This window comes from Homo sapiens, chromosome 12 (genome assembly GCF_000001405.40).
Source record: "Homo sapiens chromosome 12, GRCh38.p14 Primary Assembly".
Lineage (NCBI taxonomy): Eukaryota > Metazoa > Chordata > Mammalia > Primates > Hominidae > Homo > Homo sapiens.
This window is the reverse complement of record NC_000012.12, coordinates 27,782,056-27,803,748: the sequence shown is the minus strand read 5'-3', so window position 1 is coordinate 27,803,748 and position 21,693 is coordinate 27,782,056. Positions and strand designations below refer to the sequence as shown.

The 21,693-nt window shown below is 41.7% G+C and overlaps 1 protein-coding gene across 3 annotated transcripts in view; it reads right to left on the bottom strand.

Moving 5' to 3' along the window:
* Positions 1-708: 708 nt before the first annotated feature.
* Positions 709-21,693, bottom strand: part of KLHL42 (kelch like family member 42) — a 22,808-nt gene continuing 1,823 nt past the window's right edge. The window contains exons 2-3 of one of the 3 annotated variants that reach the window (XM_017019698.3): positions 11,848-12,041; positions 709-6,502 (exon numbers count right to left, since the gene is read on the bottom strand). In XM_017019698.3, coding sequence (XP_016875187.1) covers positions 6,459-6,502; positions 11,848-12,041 — 238 coding nt within the window. In that variant the 3' untranslated portion in view covers positions 709-6,458. Of the gene's footprint in view, positions 6,503-11,847; positions 12,042-15,540; positions 15,711-21,693 lie in introns of those variants that run through there. The other 2 variants (NM_020782.2, XR_931315.4) reach the window with 2 other exon arrangements.

Genomic DNA, 21,693 nt, shown 5'->3' with positions numbered 1-21,693 from the left:
CGCGCTGCTGCAAAGCAGGACCAGAGGCTCCCAGACTGGCTCACTCGGAAACCCACTCCTCCACTAGCAAGAGAAAGGATACCCTTTAAACCAGTGACCACTGTATGTAGTTTTCCCTTCTCCTCTTTCTCAAGTGGCAATTTGTAACCTACAGTGCCTCAGTTTCCTCAACTGTAAAGCGGAGGATATTTGTATTTACCACATGGGATTCATGTGAGGATTAAATAATTTAAATAAAAAATGCTTAGAATAATTCCTGGGAAAAAAAAAAGTGCTCAGTTAGATTTGGGTGTCGCTCTGCTAGGTCAGCCATCCTCCTTCTCCTCCATCAGTGTGTCCTGAGTGTGTAGAAAATGGTTGTCCATTTATTTCATTTTTCTTGAGTTGGGGTCTTGCACTGTCTGCCCAGGCTGGAGTGCAGTGGTGCAATCAGATCTCACTGCAGCCCCAAACTCCTGGGCCCAAGCAATCCTCCTGCCTCAGCCTCCCAAGTAGCTGGGACTAGAGGCATGCACCACTGTATCGGCTAATTTCTTTTATTTCTATTTTTTGTAGAGACAGGATTTCACTGTTGCCCAGGCTGGTCTCAAATTCCTGGCCCCAAGCAATCCTCCCACCTCAGGCTCCCAAGTCACTTCACCCATTTCCTCCCAGTCCTGGCACAGCCCTGCATACGTAACTGATACATAGAACTTAGATAACAAAAAGTGACTGAAAACTACTTTATTTGAAGACATTTTCTTCTATAGTTCTAAACACAAAAGGAATGCTGTTATAGTGGGTATTTCATAGGCATTCTTGTATTCAAATGAATCACATAATGTTTACACTTTTAAGCTAGACTTGAAATTGAAGACTTAATACAACCTTTTAACAAAGAAAGTATCAGTCATATCAAAACATAACTATTCATTCTACAGATTATCACTTTCCCTAAAATGACTACTAGATATGAAAACATTGCAGGGACAGCTCAAGTGCCCCATTCTTAAGGGTTTTTTTTAATAGGAAAAATGACAACGTAAATCACATTTTCCTTTTCTTTACTAGTAATGAACTATGGCAATCCATTTGAGAAAGCACCAGCCAACCGTACAAGTCATTTCAGCACCCTTTGCTCTTCAAAACTGACCATCTTTTATATTTAATGCTTCCTGTATGAATAAAAATGGTTATGTCAAGTACAGACGTCAGCAACGTGTCAGTTGGTGTGAATTTATGATGTGTTCCTAAGTCAACAGAGAAAATAAAAAAAATCTCTCATGTGAATAAAATCTAAGGATGAAAAACTATCCTTTGATAATTATCACAAGGCAAAATCAACCACCTTTTCATCAGTACTAGTGTGGAATGGAAATTTCTTTATTAATACTTTTTATGGGAATGTTTTAAAGGCATAGGTATAAATGCACATGCAATCAGCTTGCCCCTCTTAGATACTAACTTCCCCAGCTTCACTCCTCCTTTTCACTGGAACAAGCTGCTGAATCCCTAACTCCAAAGTCTGCAGTGCTTGGTGAGCATTTTTAAATAAAGATTATATGTGATTTTCACTTTTTCACAAAAATGAAGTACAGAGAAGACTGAAAAGCAGTGAGAAAAAAATCATAGAGCAAAAAACTAAAACACAAGATGTGATGTTCAAATTTAAAAGAAAAACAAAACTGGTTCGTGATGATTGTTAGTAAATCACAAAAACAAAGGACGGACAGGGCCAAGACCGAAGGGACCACCAGACCACCGAGCCCCAATGTGCCAGACAAAAGTGGGCATCTTTGAGAAGGACGCCCTGGTGAAGACAATTACAGTGAACCTCTTTATAAGGCCGTAAGCTCTTCAAGGTCATGGGCCGTGACTTATTTATGTCTGTATTCTGTTCTTAGCATTGTCTTGCACATGACAGACACTCAGTATTTCTGGTAACCACAGAACTGGAGCTCAATCAGCTCACTGCTTTCAAAGTCATTTTGGTTGGTGTCTACCCACTTAATTCTTTCACTCCTCTGTCTAAGGCAGGGATGGCAAATAGCCTTCATTTCACTCTGATGGACTGGGAATAGATGTCTGGAAGCACCAATCTGACATGGATTCTAAGACCAAATCCTGGCACAGAGGACAGGAATGCTGCACTCATTCATAATGCCTCCTTAAAAGAGCGGTGGCACAGGTGTTATATATTCCCCATTCCTGGTCTAGGAAAAAGGCATCCAACACCTACTTATATTCCTTTTACATTGCTATGCTGCCTCTTGAGTGATCTGCATTAAGCCACTGTTCGTTAAATGCTGGTTGATCAGGAAGACCAAGGCCTTTCCTCTCAATTTACGTCTTTGGCCAAACAGGTAGGGTCAGAACTTCACCTGGAAATCTGAAAACACATCATCCACAATGCTCAATAGGCAACAGTCCATTGAAAGAGAACAGGTATTTACTTGATTACTCCCTTTGTAGAGAAAGAATTTTGCCCATCTCAATGGTGTGTAGCTTTCATTGATATCTAAGGCATTTGGAATTACTTAGGATCTTGGTGTTAAAAAAAAAAAAATGGCAGGGTTAAATTCTCTTTGGTTCTCATTCTAATCTTAAGACTTCTGTTTGTTTCTTCCTGGTACCCATAACCTTCTCAGCACTTCGTCGTTGTGACTTAACCAATACTGTTGAAATAATCAACTCTTTCACACATTCATCAGAAAACCTTTTAAAGGATGCTAAGGGGAGAGGCCTCTGAAAATAAGTGGGTTGAAAGGAAAGCCAGAGAGAATAACAGGAAGAACCAACCTTCTAACAACCCACACACAGGACTCTCTACCATTCAGACTGCTATCTATAAAATAGGGTGCTTCTGGTCGGGGGGCTGCCACCCCAGGTCCTCCAAGCAACCCTTTTCCCCATAGTGGGAGGTCAGCATCCCTCAGAAGCATCTCAGGAAAAAATGATAAAGCATTTAGAGAATTGGGAAGAAAATAGAGGGATACTATCAAAGAGTAAAGGACAGTCCTGGGGGATGAAGGGGGATTTTCTTTTTTCTTTTTTTTTTTTTGGAGACAGAGTCTTGCACTGTCGCCCAGGCTGGAGTGCAATGGCACAATCTCGGCTCACTGCAACCTCCGCCTGAAGGGAGATTTTCAAAGCAACATTGCCTCTATCATAGGTAGTCTTCAATGTAATACTGGCACCAACAAGAGAACCGAGCTAAATTAAAACTACCCTCAAAATGTCATCACAGCTGATGTGCACAGCAGGAAGGACGATGTCACAAAATGCACAGATCTGTTCCTATTGCACATTCCACCTTTCCCACGTACTGCTGGCAGCCCAGAATAACCAAAATCTTTTTAGATGTCTGTCTTAAAGAGAGCTATAATATGCAAACATACACACACACACACACACACACCCCCACACACACACACAACCTCAAACCTGGTTTATAAAAGAGCTTTGTGGATCAGAGTACACCCTCACTTGGTCCAAGAATCTAATTGTCAACATTAGGCAAATAGACCCAATGAATGTAACCAGGAAGAGAATTAACTGGTTGGCTGGAATATTGTATTTGATATGATATGCTTATTTGCAAACTAATCTCCAACTGTTTGTCCAGTACTAATTCAACTGACTCATCTTCTAAATGTATAGGACAAAGCCTTTAAAAAGTTAAGCTCTTCAGCAACGAAAAGTTAACACCATCTAAAATAAATAGATTTTAAAATATATGTAATGAAATTACAGGTCACTGGAAATTCAATTCTACAATGAATATAAATTAACATTAAAATCTATTAAGTACTATTCCTGGGAAGATTTTGGTTCAGAGGTTTTATTTTTTTAAGGGCTTAATATTTGGGAATAAATGGGCATAGCTTAGAAACCCTTACAAAGTTGTAAGTAGACTAGAGGTAAGATTATTTGGTGACAAGATACAAAGATCTGTTTCTATGTCCAAAATAATGGCTTACCTCATTTTAGTTAATAGAAGTATTCCCAAAAAGTTGTGCAAATAGGCTTTTTATAACTGGACGCTTATTTTAAGTATACTAGAGGCCATGGTTGTAAAGAAAACCTGTAGTCACTCCTCTAATAAACTGAAGAACTCTAAGTGATTAGCCCCTGTCCTACATCTGCACAGTGGACGGCATACTCCAGGCACTCATAAGTGTTTGTTGAATGCATGAATTCGCTCTGACAGTTTTTTTTTTCCCCTACAGGACTTTCTTAAAGTGAGGCACATGCTAACTGAAATGGTTCTGCCCGCTGTTACTGCAGAAAGATGGAATCCAGCTCACAGTTTAACTGATGCCATTACAAAATATCAGATAATTTCAGAGTGTTTTCAATCAAAATAAAATTTCCATAAGTATGAGTGTATGTATTTTTGAGGAATGTTGATCTATGATTGGCAGAAGCTTTTATTGTTAACTCACTCACTGAAAACAACTGCTTGAGCTGAATTCTATTTCAATTAACAACCAAGGCAAGTAAAGCACTTTACCTAACTTCAGAAATACCACCAGAAACCATTCCACTTCTGTAACAGCTTCTTCCCCTCACTCCAGCACAAATATTTAAATGCTGTCCTTACCTTAGTCCACAAAAGCAAAACATGAATTACAAAGCTAAGATTAAATTAGAAAGCTGCCGACTTAAATATGACAAAGTTTTTTTAGCCTTAAAATAAGAACTAAGTCAAATACATTCAACAAAAGTAACTCTTAAAGGCAAATTTTTTTCTTATTTGGTGTTTTCTTCCCTTCCCATTTAAATTTAAGACTCAATTTTTAATAATATTCATATGTCCATTTTTCTAAATAATATATCCTCTTTAAAACAATACAGAATGCCTAGCAGTGCAACCTATGTGTCCACATAAATATGCAACCTGCCACATAAATAAAATAAGAGGTTTTATCAGTCTATTTATCCAGCATTTGTAACTGCAAAAAAGGCTGGAAAAATAGCTAAGAATATTTTTATGCAAGTTTTGGGGAGGACTGAACACTGGTAAGGATTCACTGTAGGGCTCCATCATTATAAGTTTCCTAAAAAGTAGTGTGCAAACAAAATATCTGAACACAGAACCCTAAACATACTAGATGTATGTGTGGGTATGGGTGATGGAGAAGAGAGAATGAATATGTTAATATGAATGCTTGTCAAGGACACTGATAAGAAAAAGAAAACCTCTCACTTAAGGTGCTAATGATATGTCAAGGGACCTAAATACAACAGATTTTAAAATCATCTTTACCATTTGTCCCAATTATTGACTTTGGCCCTTTACCACACAGACACAATGAATCTACATTTTGATGATCCGTCATTGGCCCAAGAGTATCATGTTTGGAGATGGATTTGCTCCCATAATTTAAAAATCAATAATTTAAAAAATAACAAAGTTGGTCTCTTTTTTCCACCAGTTTTCAAGTAATTAGTTCAAGTAAGCTTATTTACAGCTGCTACTGTATATATGTGACCTACTTTAACCCTTCTTTACCCTTTAGGAATTGGTCTCCCTTGGAATGGGACACCACATTTTAAAAAAAACTTGAACCAGGTTTTTTTCATCTACCAATTCAATTCAGTCATGTTTCTGCTTTATTGGGCAGATAAAGAGAAGAAACCAGCAAGTTATGTCCAAAAGCTGGAAAACGCCGAAATGCTTCCCAACTATCTGAAAAGATGTTGTACTTGAGGAACACTCGGTGTTCCAAGCTGGTCGACAGGGTGACGTCTCTGCTCATGATGTAGATGCCGTCGTTATGGAGCGCACAAGTCAAGTTAAGACCCGATTTGGACGTGTTCTCCTTGAGGTAGAGCCACTGGCGGGTGACGGTGTTGTAGGACTGCACGGTGAGCATGTCCTCGCTCTGGCTGCTCCTGCGGTTGGGCCCCAGCTCGTGGAGACACCCCCCCACGATGTAGATGGTCTCTTCCACAGACACCATCTGCTGCTTGCGAATGTGGACGTCACATGTTTCAAAGAGCGTCCACATGTCGGAAGAGGGGCAGTACTGCAAAATGTTCATGTTCCGGTCTGAAAGAAAGAAAGACAAGTGATGACACCGCCTCCACTAACACCACTAGGCAAGTCTGTACAGAAATGTCTACCTCTGCCTGCATAATTTGGTAACAAAGAGAAAAAACTCTTTCAGAAAAAGCACAAGTTAGAAAAACAGTTTTCAAAGTGGCTGGGAAGAGATATATTTAGATCCATCCGCACTCACCTCCCACTCCCAAACGTCTCTTCCGTGGGAGACTCAGACTGGATAAAACCAGGAAAAAGCGCAGCTCTGACTTTCACACAGCCCCTCCTCCCTGGTATCCCCACACCTTTGAACCACCAGGTCAGTGTAAAAAAAGTAAGTGCCTCAGAACCCTCATCAATAGCTACAAAATTACCGACTACTTAATACAGAAGCCAGGCTGGGCAGCAAGTAGATTATTCTTGATAGCTGATCCTAAGAAACATGACAAGTAGCAACACAGGATCTCCAGAGGCTGTCTAGTGAAAAGGACACAACGTTACAAGTCAGGAGAAAGGCAGCAAAGTCTCACCTGCGGCCTTCTAACAAGCCACAGAACCACTTGGCAATTCAGTTTCCAGTTTTTTTTTTGTTTTTTTTTAAAGACAGGATCTTTACCATGCCTAGCCTTAGTTTCCCCATTATATCACCAGAGAGACACTAACAAAGGTCCTCCCCTCTCCCTTTTCCCATTTCCCATGTCCCTCACAAGATGACAGTTGTAGCGTAGATAAGATCAACGTCTAGATAAAAGGTTGCTCTGACATTTTTAATTAATAATGATTTTCGGCCAAGCATGGTGTCTCATGCCTGTAATCCCAACTCTTTGGGTGGGCTGAAGCAGGAGGATCACTTGAGCCTAGGGGTTCGAGACCAGCCTGGGCAATATGGTGAGACCTCCTGTCTCTAAAAAAAATAAAAAATTAGCCAGGCATGGTGGTGTGCACCTATGGTACCAGCTGCTACTTGGAAGGCTGAGGTGGGAGGATCACTTTAGCATGGTAGGGTGAGGCTGCAGTGAGCTGTGATCATGTCACTGCATTCCAGCCAGGGTGACAGAGTGAGATCCTGTTCTCTCAAAAAAAAAAGTAATTTTCTTTAAGGAAAAATATGGCCTCGTCTCTTTTTGAAAAACGCTTGTGAAATTTAGAATATCTAGTTTTGTTTTTCTTGTTTTTAATTGTTCTCTTTTCTTTTCTCCTCTAGGAAAGAATAAACAAGTATTTTAGCCTCAGCAGAAAAAACAAATGCTCTGAGTTATAAACAGAATGAACTTTGTTGTTGTTTCTAAACAAACAAATCCTATCCATGAAGGAGACAGCTCAGCTTGGGAACTGGCAGACGACTAAAGCCTACAGCATTTTGACGGCTGCAGGCGCTTGGTAAGAGAAGACAGCTCGTTTTCTCAGAAGTTTCATACCTCTTACAGTCCTTTCTTCTGAGAGGGACCCACTCATAGTTAGCAATGCTTAAAGAGCACCCTCCACAGCCACATCTGATACAAACTGAAGTATCTCCTAAGAGAGCCAAGTCCTGTGCGCGCACATGTCCTGATGCCTGGAGAAATCTCAGAATTGTAAGCCACGGCATTAGGAAACTGTCCTGATTTCCACCCACATTAATACCTCTCCTTCTTTCTTTTTACTGTAGCTATTATGATAAAGATCATTTTAGGAGATGGCCCAAGGGGATTTTGGTCACTTATTTAACAAAAAGTGCTCCTTAGTAACCTGGCTGTCCACCGAACCAATAAAGAACTCATTCTAGTGAGGCTTCCACGTATTTCTCAGCTCCAGGCCCGAAGGTCTTTCCAGGTGTTCTGTAAATGTTTTCTCTCTTCACTCAACAAGGTGGCCTGAGTTGGTGGAATGATCTTTTTGTTTTTACATTTAAAGTTGATTCTGAAGTTTGACAAATCACCCTTCTTCCCTTTATAGCTATTACTCTCTATTGAACTTCTCTGAATTTCTTCAGTGCTGCTAAAGAATTAAAATAATCAAATAGCTACCATAAAAATAATGAGCTATTATTTACTAAATTTTAAAAGTCTCACTTGACTTAAGAAGTCAGGAGGCTAAAAACTAACTTTTTCTTTTTTTCCTAACAATCATGATGACTTATCTGAAATACAAGGAACTATTAGGAACTGCTGGGAAAGCCCCAGCAGAGAAAGAGAAGGGCTTCAGAGTATAAGTAACTGCCCAGCTCTCCCATCTTAGAAAACTAGTTTTCGGCCCTTACACAAATAGCCATCCATCCACATCACTGAACCATCCCATCATGGGTATTTGGCTCAGGGAATCCAGGACAGAAATCACGGTGGGTGGCCCAAGTGAAGAAGGTACATTAGCAGTGGCTTGTGAGGTTACAAAACACACAAGAAGGGTTTTCTAGGTCAAATCTAAAGAACATTTGCTCAGCCAGGGTCATGGAAAAACTAGGAAATCTACCAGTAAAGTACTCTTTGGGTTACAGTGCCGCCTGTCAGTGTTGAACAGCTCTTGGTTACAAGAGAAGTCAAAGCACATATGTGCGTTATGTCAGCCCACAAGATGCAGTCTGTGTTACTCAACCTAGAGAGGAATCAGAATTCTTAGAATTGCTCATAGGTAAATAACTGGGAGTATTGACTTTCCTAGAAGAAAAGACACACACATATACACACACACACGAGAGAGGGGGATTACTACATAAACACAGGAGTTCAGGGGGACTGAGGGGCCCATGGCTTAGTCTAAACCTATAATCACTGTAACCTGACAACCAGTGTTGAAGGTCAAAGCAATGACTACTAAGTTTCTTTTTTTTTTTTTCAATTATATGTAAAGAAAAAGTTGAAAACTATCTTCAGTGGAGAGTCACCAGAGAGGGACATTGGGAATAGCTCGACAAATAATGAAAACTTGGAGTGGGAAAAAAAAAAGGTCACTTCTCTTTGTCTTGCCTCTCCTTAAATACATAAATATACACATCACTTCAGTGGGTTGCATGGTGGTCCCTAACAAGATATGTCAAATTCCTAATCCCCAGAACCTGTGAATGGTGATTTTATTCAAAAAAAGGATCTTTGGGCCAGGCACAGTGGCTCATGCCTGTAATCCCAGCACTTTGGGAGGCAGAGGTGGGAGATCGCCTGAACCCAGGAGGTTGAGCCTGCAATGAGCTATGACTGTGCCACTACACTATTTCCTGGGCAATAGAGTGAGACTCCATCTCAAGGGAAAAAAGAAAAAGAAAGGGGGTCTTTGCAGATGTAATTAAGTTAAAAACCTTAAGATCTTTCTGGATTACCTAGATGGGGCCTAAATCCAACAGTGGCAACTGTCCTTAGACAGAAAGGGAGAAGCCACAGATACATACAGAGGCAGGGGCATCATATGAAGACAGAGGCAGGGGCATCATGGAGCCACCAGCCAAGGAGCCCCGAGCTACCAGAGACTAGAAGGAGCAAGGAGGACTCCTCCCCTAGAGCCCTCAGAAGGAGCACAGCCCCGCTGACACCTTGACTTCTGACTTCTGGTCGCCAGAACTATAAGAAAATATGTTTCTGTTGTTTTAGGCCACCAAGTGTATACTAATTTGTTATGGCAGCCACAGGAAACTAACACACCTCCCACCATCTTCCCCACTGAATTAATGTTTCGACTTATTCTAAAAAGAAATAAATCAGATGTTCATCAAATACTTTACATTTTAACTTCTTCCTAACATAAATCCCCAAAACAGGACACATTTGGATATGGTGGAAGGAATTTCTGTCACCTATCTGGATGCTACGTTAGCATGTGGATTTCTGTCCTTTGGGAAGTTCCCATGGCTGCTGCGGCCTCACAGGGTCTTCTTCAGGCTTGTTAGCCAGGGTTGAAGAGCTCTGTCCTGCCCATATGGTACCACAAAGGAGTGGTAGTTTATTTCACCATGTCAAATAAAACGGCAGGTCTACTACCATAATGTGGCTTAAAGTCCTAAGAGCCAGGTTACACCTTTTCTGTAAGTCCTGGGCTCCATAGAGTCACACAGACCAAATGCAGAAATAGATTTCCTTGGCTAAGAGGTAACTTGGAGACATCTGCTTTGGAGAGTAGAGGGAAGGAAAGGCACCCCTCTGCTTGACTGTCCCCCATTGTCTGTCTTCCCACAACCACAGTTTTATTTTTTCTTTTCTTTTTTTTTTTTTTATTTTAGAGACTGGGTCTCACTCTGTCACCCAGCCTGGGGTGCAGGGGAGCAGTCATAGCTCACTGCAGCCTCAAACCCCTGGCTCAAGCAATCCTCCTGTCTCAGCCTCCCAAGTAACTGGGACTACAGGTACATGCCACCACAACCAGCTAATTTTTTTATTTTCATTTTTAGAGAAGGGGTCTTGCTGTGTTGACCAGGCCTATCTTGAACACCCAGGCTCAAGTGATCCTCCTGCCTCAGCCTCCCAAGCAACTGGGACTACAGGTACATGACACCACATCCAGCTAATTTTTTTCATTTTTAGAGAAGGTGTCTTGCTATGTTGCCCAGGCCTGTCCTCAACTCTCAGCCTCAAGCAATCCTCCTGCCTCAGCCTCCCAAAGTGCTGGATTACAGTCATGAGCCACTGTATCCCACCAACAACTACATTGTTCTCTATCACTGTAACCTGAGACAATTCCCTACCAAAAAGAGCAGTATAAAACTTGCTGGCAAGCAGGGCATGGTGACTTATGCCTGTAATCCCAGCACTTTGAGAGGCCAAGGCAGAACAATCACTTAGCCCAGGAATTCAAGACCAGCCTAGGCAACACAGGGAGACCTTGTCTCCACAAAAAATAAGCTTGTGGAGAAATTTTTTTAATTTCCAAATTATTAACAATAAAATGCCTACCAAAAAAGTGAAAAACACATATATACATTTTAATAAATAGTGGAACCAGGCCGGGCACGGTGGCTCACACCTGTAATCCCAGCACCTTGGGAGGCTAAGGCAGGTGGATCACCTGAGGTCAGGAGTTACAGACCAGCCTGGCCAACATGGTGAAACCCCATCTCTACTAAAAATACAAAAATTAGCGGGGCATGGTGGTGCAGCCTGTAATCCCAGCTACTTGGGGGGCTGAGGCAGGAGGACTGCTTGAACCCAGGAGGCAGAGATTGCAGTGAGCCGAGATCACGCCACTGCACTCCAGCCTGGGTGACAGAAGGAGACTCCATCTCAAAAAATAAATAAATAAATAAACAAATAAATAGATAGTACAACCACCTCCCACTGCTGGTCAGGAAAGAGCTCTCTTGTATTCATGTCCTTGCTCCTCCTGTGATATGTGAACAGTGTCCTAAAGCTGGGTTTCTGGAACCTCTACCTGATGTGTGTGTGCTCACAAAGAGAGAAAATGAGAACTAATCTGCAAGGATGCTCTGGTACTAAATTCCATAATGGTGGATGGGGGCAGGTTTGGTGTATGTTTGGGATAAGGATGGGAGTTCCCAGATAATCTTCTCCAAAGAGCTACCCAACCTCAGAGAGCGACCCCCACAAACCAGGCCCAGCCAAATCACAAGACGGCTGACCAAAAAGCTGGGTTTCCAGAAGCAAAAAAAAAGAGATAACATTTTTTTTTCACAGCTCTCCCTTCCCCATTCGATTTTCATGCTCACACAAAGTTATCAAAAGATCCCTCCTGTCCCAATCATCCCTGCCATATGGAACTCTCTTCCTTCCAGATGTGTAAGTGTACACTATTAAAGCATAACATGACACTCGGATATGTCGGGGCTTCCTCTGACACCCTCTTGCCCTTCCCAGACTGCTGACGCCTACACATGGGCAGACCACCTACCTGGTCCCTTCACTTACCTCTGGTAGTGTATCCTCCAATGACATAAATTTTTCCCTTACACTCACAGGCAGAGAACTCAGCCAGAGGATTGGGTAAGGGCGCCACAAAATTCCACGCATCCTGCTCGGGGTTGTAACACTCAACGTTAGAAACGGCCTGCCCTCCGATGGCATAGAGTTTTGAATTAACAGCCACAAGTTTGAAGTTAGACCTGAAAGAGAGACACAAAGGCCCACAGAGTTAGTTCTTCTGATCAATGAAAAGTGTAACAATGGCATGAACTACTAGACTCTCCTGAACATCTGAAGAAAATTCGCTCTCCCAGTTGGGGGCCATTCCGCCTGAGGACAGAGGAGGAAAGGATGGCTTCTCGAATCTCACTCCTGTCCCCAAGATTCCACGGGAATGGCACACTGTCCAAACACTAGCTATCGAAGATAAGCAGTTCAATACAACAAGTTATTAATCTTGTTCAGCCTTAGTCCAGCAACCAAAGACAATGTGTATACACTAAACTCCACACTTTCTTTCAGGGGCAGGCACAAGGGTAAGAGGGGAAGGCACCCACATCACCCCATTGTCTTTCACCTCTCAGAATGGGTATTTCATTCTTCCTACTGAGTAGTATGGCTTCATCTTAGGGACACACTGGTGCTGTCGAGACAGGCAGGTGCGAGGAGTGACTGCTAAAGGGTAGGTCAGGAGATCCTTGCACAACGAGTATACCTGAGCAAGACACTGGTCCTGCCTCCCGCCTCCAAGGGCATCTAACATACTGCTTCACAACATGTAAGATGGGGAGAGGTCAGCACTGAACAAATTCACAGTTTGTATTTATTTATTTACTAATTTATTTATGAAACAGGGTCTTGCTCTGTCACCCAGGCTAGACTGCAGTGGCACAGTCATAGCTTACTGCAGCCTTGAACTCCTGGGCTCAAGAGAGTCTCCTGCCTCAGCCTCTCGAGTAACTTGGACTACAGGTATGTATCATCATATTCAGCTATACTCAGCTAATTTTTTATAAACAGTTTTTTGTGGAGATGGCATCTCACTATGTTGTCCAAGATGATCTTGAACTCCTGGCCTCAAGTGATCCTCTTGCTTCAGCCTCCCAAAGTGCTAGGGTTATAGTTATAAGACACCACAACCAGCCTCAAAATATTTTGATCCAGCATTCTTAGGGTCTTTACATATGTTAATTCAACAAATACTTCTATTGACAAATGCTCATCTTTCATAAAAATAATAACTTGAAAAAGAGATGGACAATGGTTTCCAGCTCTATATTCAGAAAATAATTAAATGCTGCTTATCAGCTTCAGACACTAAATAAGTCTTATGATTTTTGAACTGAATAGTAACACAAAATTAATTTGTTTCGATATAGCACACAAAAGGCAGGAAGGATAAACTCTTGGGAGTGTTGGGTCAGTCTGCTGTGAGGTGTGCAACAGTCACAAGTTTACAAGAGGATGAGCAGCAGCATGATGCAACAGAAAAAAACCTGAGCACAAATCAGAAGACCTCGCTTCTAGTCCCAGCTCTGCTGATAACCAGCTATCTGACCCTGGTCCAACCACCTCACTTCCTCATCTGTAAAATGGGGTAACAGCCATCACAAGGTGGTAGAGATGATTAAATCAAATAGTCTATCAGAAACTACTACACAGAGATAAAATACTATCATTCAAATTTCTGTTTTCTAGTGTTTGAAATAAAGGTGCTAGACCAAGTGAATTTCAAGACCACATCCAACCCCAACACAATGATGTCTTCAAAAATAATAATATACTAAGAAAGAATGGAGGTAGAGGCTATGCACACACAAAAAACTTATATAAGGGAGTAGATTAAGAAGAAGCAGTAAACAAGAAGCCCATGCTTGATCCCCTAAAAAGTGTTCAATAAAACTGATGCATTACACTATGGAAACTAGGTTAGTAATAGGCACCTACTAAACAGTTAAGATTTTTTAAAGGTTCCTATCATGTTTATATCTAAATGTGTTTTAGTTTGTTTTTCCAATCAGAGCGTGAATAGAGTACTCTTCATCAAGAGCCTCGTCTTGTCCCTTAAAGCCAGCCAGCCAGCCAGCCAGCCCACTTTTTTGTGCCAACAGACGTCAGGGTGGCAGGTACTGGGGGGTCCCTGATTCCTGCTGCTTACCTTTCTTGCTGCCAATGGTCCTTAAAATCCAACCATGATGCCCTCTCTGTGTGTGCAAATTTGGGGAACCAAAGGAAATAAAGCTTGTAAACAAGCACTAAATTTTCCCAGCCGCAATTTGTTTTTGCTCCCCAAAGGTACACAGATAGTAAATTTTGTAAGATCAAAACAGTTTTTAGTATTTATCCAGCATAATCATTTGTCCTAAGCAAACATGTAAGGGGCTTCTTTTTGAGACCAATGAATAGGCAGTTAAAGTAAATGATTCCATCTCTCCAGACCCCAACACGCTCAAATTCACTTGAAGAGAAACACTTTTTAATGCTGAATTTGTTTTAAGATGAAATTGCCACCTAAAAACAGACCATTTAATAAAGAGGCATACTGCTAAAGGTTATGAGTCCAGGCTTACACAGGGAAGTCTCAGACATCACACATCAATTGCTGTCTGACCTTAGACAAATTACTGAATCTGTTGATCTGTTCCTCAGTTTTCTCATCTGTTAAGTAGGGATAAGAAGGGCACAATATCTGGCATGCAGTAAGAGCTGAAAAGGACAGCACTTGCAGAGATAAGTCTTTCTCCATTGGCATTCTAGGGAGTGCTTCTCTGGGTGTCCTAAGTCTAAGTTTTTCTTAACCTTGGGAGCGTTGGTTTCTCATTTGTCAACTGCAACAGTCACTGACTGTGATGTTTTGTGCTCTCTCATCCACAAATTCTCATCACTTACTGCTTCATTTCCAACTTTCTGAAAATAATTCTTCCACTCTTCACCTCCTGAATGGTAAAGGTATAAATTCAAGCTATCAACTACTTTTCAAAATTATCATCTCTACAGTGTTTTCTTAATTTAACACACTATGTTCACGAGGTAAAAAGAAGAATTTCAAGACCAAGTAACAAGTCATCTATCATAGCTATATACTTGTTCCTTGCAATAAATAAAAATATTATCATTAGAATTTCTGTTTTAAGTGAGAAAATTGGATAAAACCACAATTGAATTTCAAGGTCACTTATAAGAAAAATTTTTTTTAAAAGGAGAGCTTTTTAAGAGACAGGGTCTCGTTTCATTGCCCAGGCTGGAATGCAGTGGCCTGATCATGGCTCACTGCAGCCTTGAACTCCCAGCCTCAAGCAATCCTCCTGACTCAGCCTCCCAAGTAGCTAGGCCACCGTGCGTGGCTTAAAAAGCTCTTTAAACCCCTAAAAGCTAAGTAACATGAAACATGCTTAACACCAGCACGCAGATCTCAAGGATTAACAGTAGCTACATACAACCATAGGAAGGCAAGATGACACAGAGGTCTGGGTGGCTTCGAGTCTAGCCCTGTGATTATGTGGAAGGTAATTAAACTCACTGAGCCTCAGTTTCCACTTTAAGGAAATGGGATTAATAACATCTACCTCACAGAGATGTTGTGAGCATTAATATGAAGTGACACCTCAAGTTGTGACTACAATACCTGACCCAGAGTAAGAGCTCAAGAAATGAAAACCATCATTATGACCCCCTATGTAGAGAAAGAAGTTTGCTTACCATCAGAGTAAAAATTAGAACAAAATGCCAAGATCCTTTCAAAAGTCCTTTCTCAACCACTCAGAACACGACTGCTTAAGTCTGTGGGCCATCCAGGTCCTTTTGTCTCCTCTTTCCCCTTCATCTACTTGCCTTCTGCCATGTCCCTACGCATTAACTTCCCCTAGGGACTAGGAAGGGGAGAAGGGGAAAGGTTAGAAAATAGAGGTAGTCATTGTTGCAACCTATGCCCAGCTCTAAGAAACTCCAAAAGCAAAGATGCAAAAAGCAATTTAAACTGTTGGCCAAAATTAAATGGGGAGTTGGGGGGGAGTGTGAATAGACGTACAGTTTTCTTTCTTGCACTATTCCCAGGCTCTACTACAACATCAACCACAGAAATGCTCCAAAAATGGTAAACATTGGCTGAGAGGAGAAGGGACAGCTCAGCAAACGCTAAGGCTGACAACTGCAATTCCATCTCTGCCAGGAGACACTTGTTTATTAAAGTCTCTCTCTCAGCCTTGCTGTATTCACACATGGAACAGGAGGACTCACTCCAACTCCATTTTCAGAGCTAAAGTGCAGGGCAATGGAAAAGACTAGAGAAAGCTCTGGAAATGGAGAACCTTAATGAACCAACTGCTGCAACAGTGGTCAGTTCCTGCAAGTTATCACTGATTAAAGGGAAAGCAAGCACCCTCGATCTCACAAGCTTTTTTTTTTTTTTTTTTTGAGACAAAGTCTCACTCTGTTGCCCAGGCTGGAGTGCAGTGGTCTGATCTTGGCTCACCGCAACCTCCCCATCCCGGTTTCAAGCGATTTTCCTGCCTCGGCCTCTCAAGTAGCTAGGACTACAGGTGCCCACCACCATGCCCAGCTAATTTTTGTATTATTAGTAGAGACAGGGTTTCACCACGTTGGCCAGGCTGGTCTCGAACCTCTGACCTCAGGTGATCCGCCTGCCTCAGCCTCCCAAAGTGCTGGGATTACAGGTGTGAGCCGCCGTGCCTAGAGGTCTCACAAGCTTTTATGTGTGAAGAGTTACATCCTGACAATTTGTGAGATCAAACCCACGTTCAGACCATCAGGCAGTGTTGCACACTTGGCCTACAGAGCAAAACATTTCTTTTTTACCCTCTGATGGTCATATAGCACCCACTATCTTCTCCAGAGTGCAGAAGGCTTTATAAAATCTCTCAATTGGCCGGGCGCGGTGGCTCATGTCTATAATCCCAGCACTTTGGGAGGCCAAGGCAGGCAGATCACGAGGTCAGGAGATCGAGACCATCCTGGCTAACACAGTGAAACCCCATCTCTACTAAAAATACAAAAAAAAATTAGCCAGGCATGGTGGCGGGCACCTGTAGTCCTAGCTACTCGGGAGGCTGAGGCAGGAGAATAGCGTTAACACGGGACGCGGAGCTTGCAGTGAGCCAAGATTGGGCCACTGCACTCCAGCCTGGGCGACAGAGCGAGACTCTGTCTCAAAAAAAAAAAAAAAAAAAAACTCTTTCAATCCCAGAGTTCCTGCTATTTAAGATTCTGGATCACTGCACTATTCAGTCCCTGGGAAAAGTGAACTGCTCTACATTTGACCCCTTTATCAAAGTAAAATACTGATACATCCCAAAGCAGTCTCCGACAAAGGTGAATCAAAGTAGATGTGAAATTCTGCATAGCCAGAGGCCAAAATCTGGTTTTCTTTCTCAAGGTTCCAAATTTCTTCCAGTGCATGCATAACCTGTATTGGATGCCTCATCCAGGAAAAACTCTGTGCTAGGTTTCATTTTTACTTGTCTCATCACCTAAACTCAATTTTAAACTTCTTGAGGGCAGCAATTACGTCATCAGTTTCTGTACATCCAACAGTGACTAGAAGAATGCTGGGCTTAAAGGCTGTCGTGGAGCTGAGGCACACATGATGAAATTTTGAAAAGTAGCACTGTACCACAAAAGATCTGTGCTCTATTTTTTAGAAGGAAATAATTTTTTTTAAAGAAGGGGGGAAATGTGCATGAAGATGGTCCCTGCAAGTCTAAAATCCAAAACTTATAAACAATTTAAGTGGTTATAACTACTCAATGGATATTTACATTTTGGTTGCTGTACTTATTACACATCCTTGAGCAATTTACTTCTCTGTGCCTCACTTTCTGTCTCTTTAGAATGGGAACCTGCCTAACAGCCCTTGTGAAGAATAAGTTAGATAATTCATGCAAAGCAGCGGGAACAGTACCTACTGCAGAGTTAAGTGTTCAATTAAATGATGTCTCTCATTATTTCTCAGCTACTCTAAATAAATATAATGACTGTTACCAAGGTAAAAATGTTCACTATAGTGTTACAAATAAAGCGAAATATAAAATTATACATTAACTTTTATTACAATAATGTAAAAATATATTCCATAGTTTTTTTTAAAGAAAACACGTATTTTAAGCACCTATTATTATTGGACATCTTGTTAGGAGTAGGGCTATACATAAGCATTGAGTAAGTCCTAGTTCCTGATCGGAAGGCAGAGAGACAACAACAGAGAATTTCAATTCAAGTCGGGGAATGTGCATGAGATGCTAGAGGAGCAGACACGGAACACTCAGCCCAAGCCAGAGTTCGGGAAGGAACTCCTAGGAGATATGTCATACCTGAGTCAAAGCAGAGGGAACTAAAGAAGGGTACAATTTCCAATACAGCATCAATAATCAATTAGAAGATATAATGGAGGGTCAGGCATGGTGGCATGTAATCTTAGCACTTTGGGAGGCCACAGTGGGAGGATTACCTGAGGCCAGGAGTTCAAGACCAGCCTGGGTAACATAGCCCCCATTTCTACAAAAGAAAAAATTTTAATTTTAAAAAATTAACCAAGCATGGTGTTGCATGCCTGTAGTCCCAGCTACTGGGGAGGCTGAAGCAGGAGGATTGCTTGAGCCCAAGAGTTGAAGGCTGCAGTAAGTTATGATCACACCACTGTACTCCAGCCTGGGTGACAAAGCAAGACCCCATTTCTTTAAAAAAGAAAAAATAAAGGGATATTTGGATGTCTGGCAACATTTCCTCCCTTCCCCGTAGAAGTAACCAGCCATGGTTGAGAGGTGGAGCCCTCTTTTGGTGGGGCGATAGCTCTCAGCTTCATCATAACTCCCACCCACCCCTCTATGCAACAATTTCACCTACCCAGTCACTTTGGGATCTTATTTTTGAACACTGCAGAAAAAATAACAGCATGGGAAAACATGCACGACATTACATAACAGACAAGAGATTAATATCTGTATTCACACATAGAACTTCTCAAATGAATGTGAAGAAAATAAGCCAATTTTTAGGAAACTGGCAAAGACCATTTACAAAAGAAATACAAATGGCCAACCAACATATAAAAAGAATAATCTCTCTTCTAATTGGGAAAAATCACACTAGTGTTTTTGCCCATTAGGTTTGGGGAAAAAAAGATGATAATATTCTATCTTGGCAAGAGTATAGGGAACTGGCAAGCACAAACACTTTTGATGGAAGAGGAAATCAGAACAATTTTTTTGATGGGCAATTTGGCGGGAGCAACCAAAATCTATTTATTTATTTATTTTTAACTGTTTATAGAGATGAGGTCTCACTATGTTGCTCAGGCTGGAGTGCAATGGCTATTCACGGGCCCGATGAGAGTGCACTGCAGCCTTCAGTTCCTGGGCTCAAGTGATCCTCCTGCCTAAGCCTCCCAAGTAGCTGGGACTACAAGCGTGAACCATTGCACCCAGCTTCAACAAAATTTAAAACATGCATACACAGCTGGGCGCGGTGGCTCACAACTTAATCCCAGCACTTTGGGAAGCCTAGGTGGGCGGATCACGAGGTCAGGAGATCGAGACCATGCTGGCTAACAAGGTGAAACCCCTTCTCTACTAAAAATACAAAAAAAAAAAAAATTAGCCAGGCGTGGTGGCGGGCACCTGTAGTCCCAGCTACTCGGGAAACTGAGGCAGGAGAATGGCGTAACCTGGGAGGCGGAGCTTGCAGTGAGCCGAGATCGCGTCACTGTACTCCAGCCTGGGCAACAGAACGAGACTCCGTCCCCAAAAAAAAAAAACAAAAACAAAAAAAAAAAACACATACACTTTGCCCTACCTATCCAGGGATTCCACGAATTTGACATATGAAACTAACTCACATATGGCTACTAAGATACATGCACGCATCTACCAGGATGTTCAATGGCAGTGCTTATTGAAACATCCAATGCAAATGGAAGTGACCTAAATGTCCATAAATAAGGGAAGGGCTAATTACATTATGGTACATCCATAGGCTGGAATGCCACGCAGCCATTAAAAAGCGTGAGGTAAGGCCGGGCGCGGTGGCTCACGCCTGTAATCCCAGCACTTTGGGAGGCTGAGGCGGGCGGATCACGAGGTCAGGAGATCGAGACCATCCTGTCTAACACAGTGAAACCCCGTCTCTACTAAAAATACAAAAAAAAATTAGCCGGGTGTGGTAGCGGGCGCCTGTAGTCCCAGCTCCTCGGGAGGCTGAGGCAGGAGAATGGCGTGAACCCGGGAGGCGGAGCTTGCAGTGAGCCGAGATCCCGCCACTGCACTCCAGCCTGGGCGACAGAGCGAGACTCCGTCTCAAAAAAAATAAAAAAATAAAAAAGCATAAGGTAGATCTACATTTGTTGACACAGAAAAAAAACTCTCAGATATGGTTAAATGGAAATATCAAGTGCCATAATAATTAGTACAACCTAGACAATTTCAGAATTTTTAAAATGTGTAAGGTGATACACCCCCGTGCACATTAATATACATAAACACTTTTCCCCTATTGTTAACCACTATCAATATACTTATACAGCTGATCCTTTAATAACACGGGTTTGAACTGTGAGGGTCCACTTACATTCAGATTTTCTTCTGCCTCTGCCACCCCGAGACTGCAAAACCAACCCTTCCTCTACCTCCTTTTCCTCCTCAGCCTACTCAGCGTCAAGATGATAAGGATGATCCACTTCCGCTTAATTTTCTCTTCCTTAGTTTATTAATAACATTTTCTTTTCTATAGCATACTTTATTGTTAGAATAAAGTATATACTACATATACAAAATGTATTAATTGATTATGTTATTGGTAAGGCATCTGGTAAACAGTAGGCTATTCAGTAGTTAAGTTTTTGGGAGAGTCAAAAGTTATATGGGGATTTTTGACTGTGCAGGGTTTGGTGTCCCTGGCCCCCACATTGTTTAAGGGTTAACTGTATTTATACAAGTATACATATAATTTACAGTATAAATGTTTATACATTTATAATATCTAAAGGTAACAAAAGTCTGTTGATACACTGACACTTTTTTTCTGTACCCTGAGGGCAGACATTTACTCTTTTTACTCCACAGTTTTGTGTGTAATTTGCAGTTTTTCTAAGAATCATGCATTCATGCATTACTTGAATGCTTTTTTTTTTTTTAAGGGGATGAAAAGGGCCTTCCTAGAAAAAAAGACAAAGACTACCAAGGATGTATGAAGGGAAGAAAGAAGTGTGAGGAACTGTGGCACTAAGGATGGCCTGGTGAGCACCAAATGATGTGTAGCTAGAGGAATGCAAGAGGAGTGAGAGAACTCAGGGCCGCCCACCCCTAATCAGACCACCACCCATGGCCACACAATGTTCCTTTGTTGTTTCAATTACAGTGCATAGAATTTGTTTTAAAATAACACTTCTGATACCAAATTTTAAATATGGTATCATCTCAATGGTGTAAATAATGCATTAAAAATGGGCTGGCAGGAAATATGCCAACCTGGTTACTGCCTCTAGGAAGAGCGGGTAGGAATAATCATCTTTTTGCTTCTTCATTCTTTTCCATTTTCCAGTTTTCTGTAACTATGTATTATCAGGGGAAAAAGCATACTTTTCAAAATGAATTTCATATTATAGGAGAAATAAAGCCAGTTATTTCCCCCAAATAATCCCTGGCCGAGGAGGACCCTCGAGTCAAATAAACAGATATATAAAGGATTCTCTGTTACTGTTAAGACTTTCTTTGCCCAGCTGTGAGCTCCCCAACTCCTTGCTCCACACTTCAGGACCAGGACCCTGTGAGGATTGAGATGGAAACACGTGGATGGGAAGAAAGGGTATTTTCATCCTTTCTTGAGTTACATTGATTCTTTTCC